Raw genomic sequence first — 14,314 nt, forward strand, 5'->3', positions numbered from 1 at the left:
ACACATAAACCATTAGCCTTAAGAGAATAAGGAGGCTCTGAGCAAGACACTCTAACACTTTTGCAAACAAAAAATTTCTATTATCAGGATTTAGCTATTTGATGCCCTAGGATTCTGTCAAGGTAATTTGAAGGACTAAAATCAAATTTAAAAGGAACGGCATTCTGACTGTGCATTTCACAATTTTTTCTACAAACCACCTAAAATCATCTCCCTGACTTTCCGCCCAGCCCACTCTACTTCCATGACTCTAAGACAAAACTGTGCCTAGGGACTGAGCAGAACTGAGGTTATAGGTGGGGAATGACATAGCCCCAGCTGTTGGGAAGGGGAAGGCTGCAGAGCCTAGGAGCAGGTAAAGTCTGGAGCAAACACCTCTGCCGTTTTTATTCATCTACACACTCTTTGAGGCTTTTTTTTTTTTGTCTTTGAAGTGGAAAATTATAAGCGATTAGAAAACATGGAATTGGCGAAGACAGAATAGTAGAAACACTACTAAATGGTTTTTAGGAGGCATTGTAAACAGATTCAAATTTTCTTGAATGCAAAGTTTTCCTCCTCATTTCTTATTACTTTCTTATTTTTGTGTCTTCTATCTCTCTTTGCTTTCTCTTTGTTCTGTAGCCTTCTCTGAACACTGTTTCTGTCATCGAGGCTTTTAAATATATATTGTTAAATATTATTAACTTGATGTAATTAAGCAAAGGAAGGAAGTCAGTCTAAATCAATGGCAAACTGGAGAAATAAGCAATTTTTTAGGAAATGAAGGATTAATACTCTTAGGGATATACTGAAACTATTGAAAGCAGTAACACACTACATCACTAAGGAAGTGGAAGGCTGCCTTAACTCCTACATAAGCACATTTTGGAAATTTATTGTTTGAAATAATTTGTTGTGCTACAGACCTTTACTGTTTAAATAGACTAGTATTTATTTTTTTTACGAATTGCTTAGCAAAAAAACATTGAGGATATTGAGATATAAATGCAATTCTTCGTTGCTTAAAACTTGGTGCTAATAAGGTCAAGACCACACACTAAATCTCCGTATCTGCCGGTTCTCTCTCTCTCTGTTGCGTGGCCACAAATGTATGAACAAGAAACTCAGATCATAAGCAGCAGTGGGGGAGAGGATGTGGATGAGTCTGTCCAATATGCCTTCTCATATTGGAAAATGGCTCTGTTTTCATCTGATATGCACCTGTGGTTAGTAGCTTCGTATTTCTTTGTGAGCATCAGTTATCCTAGAATTTTAAAGATAATTTTAATACCATCATTGTTGCTTTAATAATTTATTTTATTTGCTATTTCAACTCTACTATGTGGTAATATTACTTAAAACTAGATGAGAATTTTCTGCTTTCATTGATATTTCTTGCACGTATATTTATATTCTTCTCATTAAGGCTAATAATACTATGTGAGCTCATAGAATTGGCATTGGAATTCTCTGAAGGAAAAATAATGATCCATTTCATGAGATGAGCGATTTTTACAAACTGCTGTTTCCAGCTCAGAGTGCTTTGTTCAGTGATTAAAATGTATTTCTCAATTAAATTAAAATGCAAATATAGACAGTCTATTTTATGATTATAATAGAATTATTTAAAGAAGGTTTTATGTAAACCTGCTATTAATATTTTATGCATAAACTGTTCGTTTTATTGTTGGGCCGGTTCTGCCATGTTCCATTTTCAAGATTACTAGAAGTGCTATGAAAACTTAATCATACTGTCCAGGTTTTATCAGTTTTTACCCACTCTACTCTGGGAAATTAAGTAGGATGCTTTCCTATATACTTTATAAGTTATGCCAGGGGTGTTGGAGAAATATAAACTACTAAAACCTCAGAATCCCCTGAAACTGAATTATGAACAATTTACTATTCTTTAAAGAAATGTTTTTGTTACACAGATACAGTGACTCTTAAATTTACGAGTACCATATTTTATAGTTTCTCATGAAATTAAAGATCTAGAAGCATACTTCAAGAAGCCATTATTCCAACTTTTTAATTTATATTAGAAATATAAAATATTTATATTAGAAACTGCATATAATGCTATGGATTTAATTATGATCCTTTTAGGGTTTTCTTTTTTCTTTCTGGTGTCCTATAACTTCTCAAACATTTGGATTAAAATAATCTTTAAATAATATTTTCTAACGTGATCCTTTTTGTTGTTGTTGTTTTTAGTGATCTCAGTGAAAACCAAATTCAGGCAATCCCAAGGAAAGCTTTCCGTGGGGCAGTTGACATAAAAAATTTGTAAGTATCTATTTTTAAATTTATAGTGTTTTAAGTCATTATCTATTTTCAAAGTCAAGTTTATATTAAATAAAGTGTCAGAAAGAAATGGTGAAAACCCTGTGTATATTTATGCTTGCGTAGGAGACCTTGTAACAGTAAGTTGTCAATTGTTTTCACAAGCTGTTTGACGAGATGCTCATTTAGAAGATGTCTGGAAACAAGCCATCATTAAATTCATTCTTTAATCCTTGTGATTAATCTTTTGAAACCTATGAAGTGATTTGATTCGCAGATATTTGTGTTTTTTCCCCACTTTTTCTATCAGCTTACTTCAGTAACTATGTATTCAGTTGCTGTTGGTGTTTATTAGAAACAAAACTGTTAGTTTTATTGTTGGGCCAGTTCTGCCATGTTCCATTTTCAAGATTACTAGAAGTGCTATGAGAATATGGACTATTATTTTCTGGAAATAGTAGATAATATTTTCTTCTTAGAGACACCTGTAGCCTAGAGCTACAGCTTTTTCCAGAGTTTTAAGATCACCCTTTGCATTAAATACCAAAAGCATGAGAATGACAAAATTATGTCTTTCCCTTTGTGTGAGTGTATTTCTTACACTTTCCCTCATATCCTCATGAAAGAATGTATTTATAGCATCCTTTAAAAAAATGAAAGTGCATTTCTGTATTTTCCTTTGATAAATCTTTAGTCTGGTGTTTCAATTATAAGCATTTTTTAAGTGCCTTTATTTCTAAGGATGCATATCAGATTTAAGATCTCAGTGACAATCATAATATCAATATCTCTCTAAATTTTAAAATACTATATTAGCTTCTAAAAATGATGGTTTTTGATAGACTATGAATCCTAGGACATAAATGTTTTTCTTAGCTTTTACATTAGTTTGGAATGTAGGGGAGAAAAGCCCCTGTATGCTGAGATTAACTGTCAGGAATTTAATATTTCTTAGCTAGTAATAAACAGGGCAGGCACTTTTTCAAGAATTAACTTATATTCAGAATTCTCCATGGTTGGATCCAATGCCTTTTTTTTTTTTTCAGTAGCAAAAGTAAGACAGATGTTTTCCCTTGTCAAAGAAGACAACTGTTTGTAAAGCCACAGATTTTGGCCTCTATGTGTTCTCCTTAATGTAAATGATTTTTTGAACTTGCACTTTCTAAATGTACAGGTAAAGACAGACAACTACAGGCTTCTAAGGTATAAATGTATAAAGCCATTAAAACTATGGCTGTAAGGTTTTTATGGGTGCTCAATTTAATATGATTTTATTTGCTTTCTTTTTACTTTTGCTAGTTAGGGCTTCAAGAAGTCTTCAGGTAGACTCAATGATACACAGTGTTCAAATCTACCTGGATAGAACAGTGTGCAAGAATTCCTATGTAGCATTTACTTAAGTTGCCTTCACTTAGCTGTAAAAATACGGCAATAGCTGCAGTTGACCATCCCTTAGTAATGCTATTTGCAGTCTTACAGTAGTATTACCTCTAATTCCTTAAAACAGGTGGCTTTTAATCTTCTTAGTTAAGATATTCAGGGAATCCAAGTAAAAAAGTGGCCCTCCTCCCACATTTAAGGATACGCATGGAAATAGGGACCAGTCAGTCATGATAGAATTCTTCTTTATATATTTTATATTTATCCTTAAAACATGTGATTTCAAAAGTTTAGCGATAACAGAAGCTAGTCAGTGTTCTATCTAATGGGATGTTGATTTAGCAAAGTTTTCAAATCTTTTCTCCCCCACAGGCATAATTTTTTCTCAGAATTTAAAGATTTTTTATTATCATTTATGCAGTTAGATGAGTTTTTTTAAAATTATTAATGCAGTTAGTTGAGTTTAAGACTGGAGTCTCAGAATGTTTTGTTATTTTTTGGACTTGCAGATATGAGCAAATTAGTCAGCTTCATTAAGCCTTAGTTTTTACTTTTTTTTTTTTTTTTTTTTTTGAGATGGTGTCTCGCTCTCTCACCCAGGCTGGAGTGCAGTGGTACAATCTCAGCTCACTGCAACCTCCACCCCCCGGGTTCAAGCGATTCTTCTGCCTCAGCCTCCTGAGGACCTGGGATTATAGGCACTCGCCACCATGCCTGGCCAATTTTTTGTATTTAGTAGAGATGGGATTTCATCATGTTGGTCAGGCTGGTCTCGAACTCCTGACCTCAGGTGATCCACCCTCCTCAGCCTCCCAAAGTGCTGAGATTACAGGTGTGAGCCACTGTGCCTGGCCAGTTTTTACTTTTATAAAGTAAACAATAGTTATTTGGGTTTGGTATGGTTATTAGGGAAAGAAGATGTATGAAAGACCTTTCGAAACAGTAAAATGCTATGAAAATACAGTATTTCATTTGCAAGTATTTGACTAATCAAATGCTAAAAGTTAACCCTAAAAAATGCATCATAAGGGGAGACAGGAAAGTGTAACATGAAATGATTAGCAATATTGACTAGAAATGACTATTCTATTGTGGGTCATTTTGACATGAAGTTACAAAATGGAAAAAGAAAATATAATAGAAAGTGCTAAATGAATATGCACAAGACCTTGATTTGTGAACAAGGCATTAAAGGCTGTAGGTGCTGAGGAAACAGAAAAGTATCGCTTGAAGTTATCAGGGAATGGTTAGATTGGAAGAGTAAAACCATAGTGCAGTGGAGTCTGTGTGTGTGTGTGTGTGTGTGTGTGTGTGTGTGTGTGTGTGTGTGTGTAATGTAAGGGATGGAATGTGCCCAACCCCAGTTTGTTTTTTTTGTTTTGTTTTGTTTTTTGAGACACAGTCTCGCTCTGTCACCCAGGCTGGAGTGCAGTGGCACAATCTCAGCTCACTGCAACCTCTGCCTCCCAGGTTCAAGCAATTCTCCCACCTCAGCCCCCTGAGTAGCTGGGATTATGGGTGCCCGCCACCATACCTGGCTAATTTTTGTATTTTTAGTAGAGATGGGGTTTCACCATGTTGGCCAGGCTGGTGTTGAACTCCTGACCTCAGATGATCCACCCGCGTTGGCCTCACAAAGTGCTGGGATTATGCACCTGGCCATCCCTGTTTTTTAAAGGCAAAGCAGTATGTGTCTTGAATAGCCGCAGTGGTAAGAATTATAGGGATCTGAATATGGGGGGAGCTGAGTATTGTGGCATCTACATTATTTCAACTTTGGAAGCTTATGTTTCTACAGAAGAAAAGGGGCTTCAGAAACTATGTGGATGATGAGTGATGTTGATCAAAAGAACAATTTATTCCCACTATTCTCATTGCCTTCCATGTAACAATGTGAAAGACAATGAGGGAAATATTAAAATATCACAATGAATGTATAGGTTTATTTTATGAATTAGGATCACAGCTGCAATATTATAAAAATTTTACATTAAAAGGCATTTTCTAGGATTAAAAAATAGTTCAAACTACATTGTTCAAGAAAAGTTCCAATCTCATGGGGTTTGTATGAAGTTTAATCATGAAAACTTACGAAGGCTATCTGGTAAAATATATTATAACTGAGGGTAAATTTAATTCCTATTATTGTGAAACTGGTGAACATAAGTCATCGTCATGGCTCAATACATTTCCATTAATATTAGCATTATTAATATTATTAGTATTTGGTGTAAGAAGAAGGTACAGTACTTCATCCCATGTGTCATGCTAGTATGTCCATTTACAAGTTGAAAAACCCTGCATGATGCCATTGTGGCTACTGTTCAGTGTTACTCAGAGAGTAAAAGAGAAAAAAAAGAAGCTGCCCAGGCCATATTTTGTATAGCACTATGTAAAAGCCCAGTCTGATGCACTGTAACAGGTTTATGGGATTTGGCACATTCAGGCCTTAGAGCAAATTCCAGTGTTCACAAGATTTTCACTAAAAGCATTTGCTTTAATCTTGTGGATTGGCTAAATATGCTCAAGGCGGTATCCCAACAATATGAAATTGATGCTGTGGAAATTTTGCAGATTAGCAGATCTCATTCCCCTTCCTCCAGGCAAGCCACACTAAAACTATTCTAAACAGATGGACAGTTATCTTGCTCTTAAACATCTCCAGGGAGGACTTCCCATAACTTTTTTGCTTCTCTCTATTCATTTCTTAACTCGATTAAATTTTTTTACATTTTATTTTGCTACCTTATTTTCTCCAGCCACAATTTAAACTACTTTTTCCCTTGACATTTTACACAATGAGATATGCTGTGAGAATAGCAAGGTCATATGAAAATATCAACTAAATTATACTGTTTATAATGGTCACTGGTGGTACATTTCTGTAGGATTTACATTTGTGTTTTTAAACTCCCAAAACAAATATGAATTAAGTATTGATAGCATATCATTATCAACTGATGCTTTGCCAAAATGTAACCAATATTTAGGAAAAATTGCTTTAGAAATGTGTGTGTGTGTGTATATATATATAGATCTATATATCTATATATAGATCTATATATAGATATATATCTATATATATAGATATATAGATATATAGATCTATATATAGATATATATATCTATATATAGATCTATATATAGATATAGATATCTATATAGATATCTATATCTATATATATGTAGATATATAGATATAGATATCTATATATCTATATATATAGATATCTATAGATATATATCTATATAGATATATCTATATCTATATATAGATATATATCTATATATAGATATATATCTATATATAGATAGATATATATCTATATATAGATATATCTATATCTATATATAGATATATATCTATATATAGATATATCTATATATAGATATATATCTATAGATATATCTATATATATCGATATATCTATATATATCGATATATATATTTAAAAGCCTTAACACTGATGCAGTAAAGCCTTTGCTGTCTTCTAAACAAATATTGAACAGGGTCATGTTACATTGTGCCACTGATTTGTTTTCAAGTATCTATTAGGCATTTCCATTAATTGAGAATTTAGAAAAATGTTAAAATTAAATCTCACTTTACTGCCAAGAATTGTGAGCTTATTCTTGAAGAACTAATAGTACTTAGTAAGTACCAGAATATTTCAAAAGTCTTTTGTTTTTATGATAAAACATTCTTAGTTATAGTTATCCTAGGATTAAAGAAAAAAGGTACAAATATATAAACTTTAAAATTACCTAGATCACTAGTTTTTAGTCACATCACAAAAACAAAATCTAATTTACTTTACCGTTGGTTTTTTAGTGAGTTCAATATGATTACTTAAATTAATTAAATTCAAAAAGGACATATTTTAAATGTACTATGTGAGGTAAACCACACCTGCTTTCTGCTGCTTTAATTTTGCAATACATCCACAAAGTGCATCCTCTATTCCAATCAAACTTTACTATTCTTTCTTCATAAATAAATATATATTTTTCCAGTTTGCTTGCATTATCTCAATTCCATTAACCCTATGTCTGTCATGAGTCTTATAATCCTTTTCCAGGAACAAAATGCTTCTTGGTTAAAAAATATGTTGGGGAAAATATTTGTATTTATCCTTTTTTGTACATGCATTACTTTTTAGACAAGGCTTTAAGTCAGTAGATGATTCAGTATGATTCTCTTTAGGTAAGCAAAAATATCATTTGGAAAATAAATATATATATTCCTATGACATTTTAGGAAGGAAGTCACCCAATTTGGAATACATTATTTATTAGCATAAAACGATTTGGCAAACAGGATAGAGAGAGTTCACCTATGTGTTGTTACAGAGCTATTTACATTAGTTAGAAATTTTGTTTTTCTGCTGGAACTGTGTCATTTTCAAGTTTTGTATCGATGGCTCCATTAGAACCCATAGAAGGAAAACTCACAGTTCTATCCCAGAGGCACAGAGCTGCTTACATATTTCATCATATTTTTAATTTTTTCTCATTTCAAATATCTGTTTTCTAGTTTTCACTGTCATCTACATAATTCCTAATGATAAGAGAGCAAGGGTTGCTCACTTGATATAGAATCAATATGTAACAAACAGAGAAAAGAGGGTATGTAAATTTTACCAGGCAAATGCAAGACCTCATTAGGTTTGTCATATAAGTTAGGTCATAATTGCAAAATGTCTTCTTTAATCTGTTAGTTTTTCTGTTTAGTTCATTGGATTTTATTTCAAATCCATTGATATCAGATTGCAGCTGTACATGTCCGTGCCCCTAGCTCTTTCCTAGAGTATTTTCAGTAAACCTGAAGCTGAAGAGACTGCAAATGGTAGGTTGGTTTCTCATTTATAGGGATTGCTATCCTTACTCTTAAATTCCAGAGGTCTTCAGTGTGGTATAGAACCTTCTGAACAAACCTGTAGGGAGGGCTTTTTACTTAGATAGATAGTAAATGAAGGTAAGGTCTTTTATTGCCTTTCTGAAATGAAACTTACCTTCATTTCCTATGTAACTAAATAAAAAGGGGTTGTCTCAGGCATTCATATATATAAAAAAATTAGTAGCTCAGCAGATGTCCCCATCAGTACTATGGGAACTGTCCATGGTTCTGTATTTTGCTTGGTTGCACTGCCTCTGAAAGCACAATGAATTGTGATAATCCCCAACAACTATGACAAAGTTTGCTACCAATAACCTCTCCATCTTTGCATTTTTCTTTGTCTTCAGAGTGCTTTCAGCAGTTTTTCTTCAATAATGCATTTTGTCATGTAAAGATGTAATCTAACAATATTTCTTCATAAATGCCTTCTAGAACAAAACAAAATAACACAAAACACAAGATAGTCTGATTCAGCAATTGGGAATCCAATTCACATACTTACAAAATATGAATTGGCATAATCATGCCATGGCTGCTGTGTCTTCTTATGATACAGAATGGACCTTTGATTTTTTGCATCTTTAACACTGAACAGTACACTTTCTCACCTCTGAACTCTTAAAATAGCCTGCTAATTGAATTTTGACCTCTAGTTTATATTCTCATTAGATAATTTTAACAAGGTTGCCAGATTTTTTCCCATAAAACATTGTTTATTATCTATTACTACAGGGTTTAAAAGTATTCAGTTTATTTAAAAAGTTGTTTTAAAGTACCTTTGTTATAGACACTATGGCAAAGCCCTGGGAATAGAGCAGAATGTTGCCAGTTCTATAGTGTCTATAGTATACTAGATACAGAAACTCTAGGACTAGGCAGAATGTTGCCTAGTTCTACAGTATCTGTAGGAATTACAGACTCTTTCCTGAAAGAGCAGAGATGATTATTAAATGCTGTAACATCCAGTCTCTTTAGGCATTCTGACTACTCCTAGCATTCTGACTTTGATCCAGGCTCCTAGCTCCTTCTTCCCTTCAATCTGTACAGAAGCTCTTTGCTCAAGCCAGAATGGCCTCTCTGTTGCAGATATTCACTGTGAACATTGTAGTGCCTCTGCTCACAACTCTTCTTTGATAGACCCATTACCTCCATAGGAAATACCCACTTTATTTTCTGTCTAATTAGATTCTATCCATTTTTTGAGGATCTGAGGTTTTGGTTTTTTTTTTTTTTTCCTTTCTTTCATGACTACATCAGCCTAGAGTAATCTCTGTCTTTTCTGACATTCTATAGTGCTTTTCATCTGCTGGTCTCTTCCATAGTAATCATTGATTTAGCTGAAACCTCCATTTGGAGAACAAAAAGTTCCTGAGTCTTTTTCCTGAGTCACTATGTATTGAGAGGGAGTTATGGCAATACATACATCTACATTCCAATGAAAACTTCACAGACTATTTGCTACATACCATGTATAACTTATTGAACTTCTGTGAGACTCATAGTCTCAAAATCCGGATGATGCTAATTTCTCCTTCCCAAGTTATCATGAGGAATAATAAGATGACGTATCTACAGACCCTGCCATATGCTATGAATTTATTAAACGTTAGCAATTATTATTATCATTTTCAGTTTCTACCACTTTTGATTAGTTCACTTACAATTCCCAGGACTTAATGTCAATGTAGTTGTCCTTCCCTCAATTGATGTTAAAGCAGGTTCCCTCCCCATCTCTACTACTGCTATCTGTTGCTTCTTCCCCCCAAATTGACAAACATATAACTTTATACCATAGGCTACTCCTATAAAAACTGAAATTCTTTATTCCTGTGAGAAAAGCAAATTGTTGCCTGAAATATTGTAAAAGGATTAAATTCTCACATAATGTAAATTACTTTGGGGTCCTCAGAATGGTCCATACCTTAATTGCTTTCTTTACCAGTTTTGAAGTTAATACTGATGTGCTTTTATGCAGAGGTAAAGGATATAGTTGCTGAAACTTATGTCAAGGATGTACATGTATATGGATCAATTTTTATTCTTATACTCTATATCATAATTTATATCTGGGGCTACTCTTTAAAAGCATGATTGGCATAAATATTGATATATAGACATTTGTATTGACTTGAAGTTTATACACATATGGAAAGAAGGAGAAGAGACCACGCTCATATATGTACAGCTTTTTTATTCTTTTTCTCCCATGTGGTTTATATGTTTTATTTGGTTTCTTTACAATAGTGAAAAATTGTTATTCCCTCATATTGATTTTAGCCATTTCGATGTGTCTTAAGTCAACTAAATTTTTGGAGTTTTCTATCTTACAATAATAATAATACGAACATAAAGTAAACTATTTCTAGCACTTTAAATGAAACAAAACAATACAAAATTGGAGCATAGTTATAATAATTTTGTTGAGACATTGAGAGATCCAGATTGACTTAGAAATTATTAAAGATTGTTATGTTCTATATTGTTAAGCACATTTTATGTGTCTTCTAATTCTTACCAAAAAAACCTATTAGTTATAAGAACTTATAACTTGGATGCTGCAGTAGAACATGAATTTGCTATGGGTAGGAACACACTAATTGAAATTACTGCAGTTTTATATAGTTATTAACCTAAGTGTTGTATATGTAATTCAAACTCAGTGTGATATCCATATTTTAAAAGAATAAAGCAGGAAATTCTTTAAGAAAACCTAAATGATGGACTAGCATCTCTGTTTCAGGATGCCAAGTAAGCAAATGTTTAACCTTTTTGTCATTTAATATACCTATTTTTAAAACTTATATTTAGCAACATTGTATATTGTCCCCCATACCTAGAATAAATCAAAATTTGAAACTAGGATAAATTATTTTTAGTATTAAAGAGAATCAGATGAGCTTCAGAACTTTTTGCACGTGAGGCATACAGTGGTATCTCTTAATATATGGAGCCCATCGACACACTGCATTATGTGAGACTAAATTTACCAGCGCTGGTAAAAACCAAAATGAACTATCTAGAGTTATTCTAGGGCATCAGAAGATATACCTCCTACCATAAAAAAAAAAAAAAAGAATGTTAATACCGAGAGATCATGATTTTTTTTTTTTTTAAGACATGGAGTTTTGCTCTTGTTGCCCAGGTGGGAGTGCAATGTCATGAGTTGCGATTTTGGCGCGCTGCAACCTCCACCTCCTGGGTTCAAGCAATTATCCTGCCTCCTCCCATGTAGCTGGGATTACAGGTGCCCACCGCCACGCCTGGCTAATTTTTGTATTTTTAGTAGAGATGGGGTTTCACCATGTTGGCCAGGCTGGTCTCAAACCCCTGACCTCGGGTCATCCACCTGCCTCGGCCTCCCAAGGTGCTGGGATTACAGGCATGAGCCACCACGCCTAGCCGAGGTCATGAATGTTATTCTTGACCCCATCATTTCCGTGAGATTAAAGCAGTTCTTCAAAACACAAATTTACTTGGACAGCAAAGGATCACATAGAGAGGTAATTTGGAATTTGAACAGAAGCCAAAGGGAAGATTGGAGTCAGCAAATAAGGGAGAAGACACAAAAGTATGTGCTAAGTTAGGTCAGCTGAAGGTCTGAAATAAACCACTTATGATACTTCTGCCCTTAGCATCCAACTGTCTTTAATGATCTGCAAATTTACACTATGTCTTAGTGAATAGTTGGAGCATAATATTTTTTTTGAAGAAGTGAAAAAGTCTCCTCTGGCTATTTTCTTAATTCAGAATAATTTCGTAGCACAATTGCAAATCACATCTGAAGAAGGCCAGCCTGTCACTAAAGGTATGGCAGAGAACAGATCCTTTCCTGTTTACAGAAGCCAGAAGTACCCAGGGCTTGAAAGGTAGTGGAGAAGGGAGTGAGCAGGGTGAAACAAAAAGAGTGCAGCTAAGTAGTCCAGAAACCCTGAAATAAATTACATTGTTGCATAGTTTTGACACTGTTTATCTTGAACCATATACAGACAAATGAAGGTCTGTTGGGAGAGATTTTCTCATGAGCAGTGATACCAGCACAACACTTTATGTAAACCTTCCTTTGAATATCAAAAAATTGACAGGTTAATGAAAGAATTATTCACTTGTTTAACTTGGATTGCCCCTTCATATGAGTAACCTCATGAAATACCTTCATGTTCAGGAAATATGTGGACTCAGATATAACAGTATTCAGAGAACTTTTAAGGAAAACCTCAGTCCTATGGAAACCAAACATTCTTAATGTTTTAGCACCAATAAGGGCTTAGATTTCTGTTAAGAATATGAAGAAGCGTATAACCATGAGCAATATTAAAGAACAATGAAATTACCAAAGTTTCCAGCAGCATCTCAACTTCTGCTCCTGTAAGGAAAGTAGTTGGCCTTCCATTCCTTGTAGGACAAGGTTTGCTTGAGTGCTTTCTGGCATGCTGGAGGTTCCCCTTTGTGTATTGTGTGCATGATTTAGAAGAAGCTGTGTCAGCATTGATTTATACATTGACAGCTAAGGATAATAAGATATGGGCAAACATACAGCTCACCCTTTTACAGATTAACCTGGAGACTGCATTAGGCAAATTTGATAGCATTAAAAGATTTTGCCGATTTGTCTGGAAACAATTTCTCTTTTGTAGTGTGTCAGGGGTAACACTTCATGCCATTGTACTAATTTAAATGGCTTTGATAAATTGTTCAAGAGGTTAGAGAATAGTAGTGTAGATATATATATAGCACTTTAAAATAAAAAAGGCTATTAACTTAATTGTTAAATGAATTTAATCTGTAAAAATCAAAAGTGCTCAAGAATGTAAGTGTTTTCTTGGAACCACAGCAGCCATATTACATCATGAGACTTTAAATGTCTTCTTCGAAAATAAAATACTTCTGCATTATGTCTTAATAAGTAGAAATTATTTAGGCTATTATAATAGCATGGATGTTAGCTATGATTTGGGGAAAACTTTAGTTTTATAAACTAAGGCTTATACAGGCAATAAAATTGTATCTTCTTTGGGGTGCACCTTTGTTAATAGTGCACGTCCTAAATTGTACCATTTGCATGACATCAAGGTAGCCTTGTGTATGATTGTGTCCCCTAGAGAACTTCTTATAAATGAGATGTGTATTTCATGAGACATTGTCTATATACATAATTTCTAAAGTAAGGAACTTGAAGAGGCCCATCTGAAAGTCACTGGATTAAATCATTGCACCTTTATTCAGTAGTCTTGTGGGAGAAACAGCTATTTTATAGAAATGTTCAAACGGTTCTTTATGAACAGACCTCAAATATGAATTAGCCCTTTCAGTGAATGCTGAACTTGAAACGAGGACAGGATGCATTTGTATTACGATCATAATCTTACTCCTGTTCATCCACATTCTCTCACCCAGTGCGTGCAGAGCTGAAAACTCGCCTCTTCCATGAAACATTTTGTTTCTATCTCAAGTGAAACGTCAAAATACTTTTTTAACTGAAATAATAGCATCTCTAATATTCAAGCTACTGTATTTAAACAACTGCTTGTTCAGAAAAAAAAAAAGAGTGTGGTACAGATACAATATAGTACTTCACTGTTAATTTCAACCAAGTAGAAGGCTCAATATGAACAAGAAAATTTTAATTCTAGAACAAGCAGCAGGAAAAGCAGACATAACCAAGTTTGGAGCATTCTTTTTTTGTACTATGAATTTTAACAAATAAGTGCTTAAGATATTGGAGAAGATTCATTTACTTCAATTATGCATTATTTAGAATTTCACTGATAC

The 14,314-nt window shown here is 33.8% G+C and overlaps 1 protein-coding gene across 7 annotated transcripts in view; it reads left to right on the forward strand.

Annotated features, from left to right (window-relative positions):
• Positions 1-14,314, forward strand: part of SLIT2 (slit guidance ligand 2) — a 368,657-nt gene that overhangs the window by 213,648 nt on the left and 140,695 nt on the right. For all 7 annotated transcript variants that reach the window (XM_005248211.3, XM_006713986.3, NM_001289135.3 and 4 more), the window contains exon 5: positions 2,200-2,271. In XM_005248211.3, coding sequence (XP_005248268.1) covers positions 2,200-2,271 — 72 coding nt within the window. The remainder of the gene's footprint in view (positions 1-2,199; positions 2,272-14,314) is intronic.

The sequence above is a fragment of the Homo sapiens genome, chromosome 4 (assembly GCF_000001405.40).
Source record: "Homo sapiens chromosome 4, GRCh38.p14 Primary Assembly".
Taxonomy (NCBI): Eukaryota; Metazoa; Chordata; class Mammalia; order Primates; family Hominidae; genus Homo; species Homo sapiens.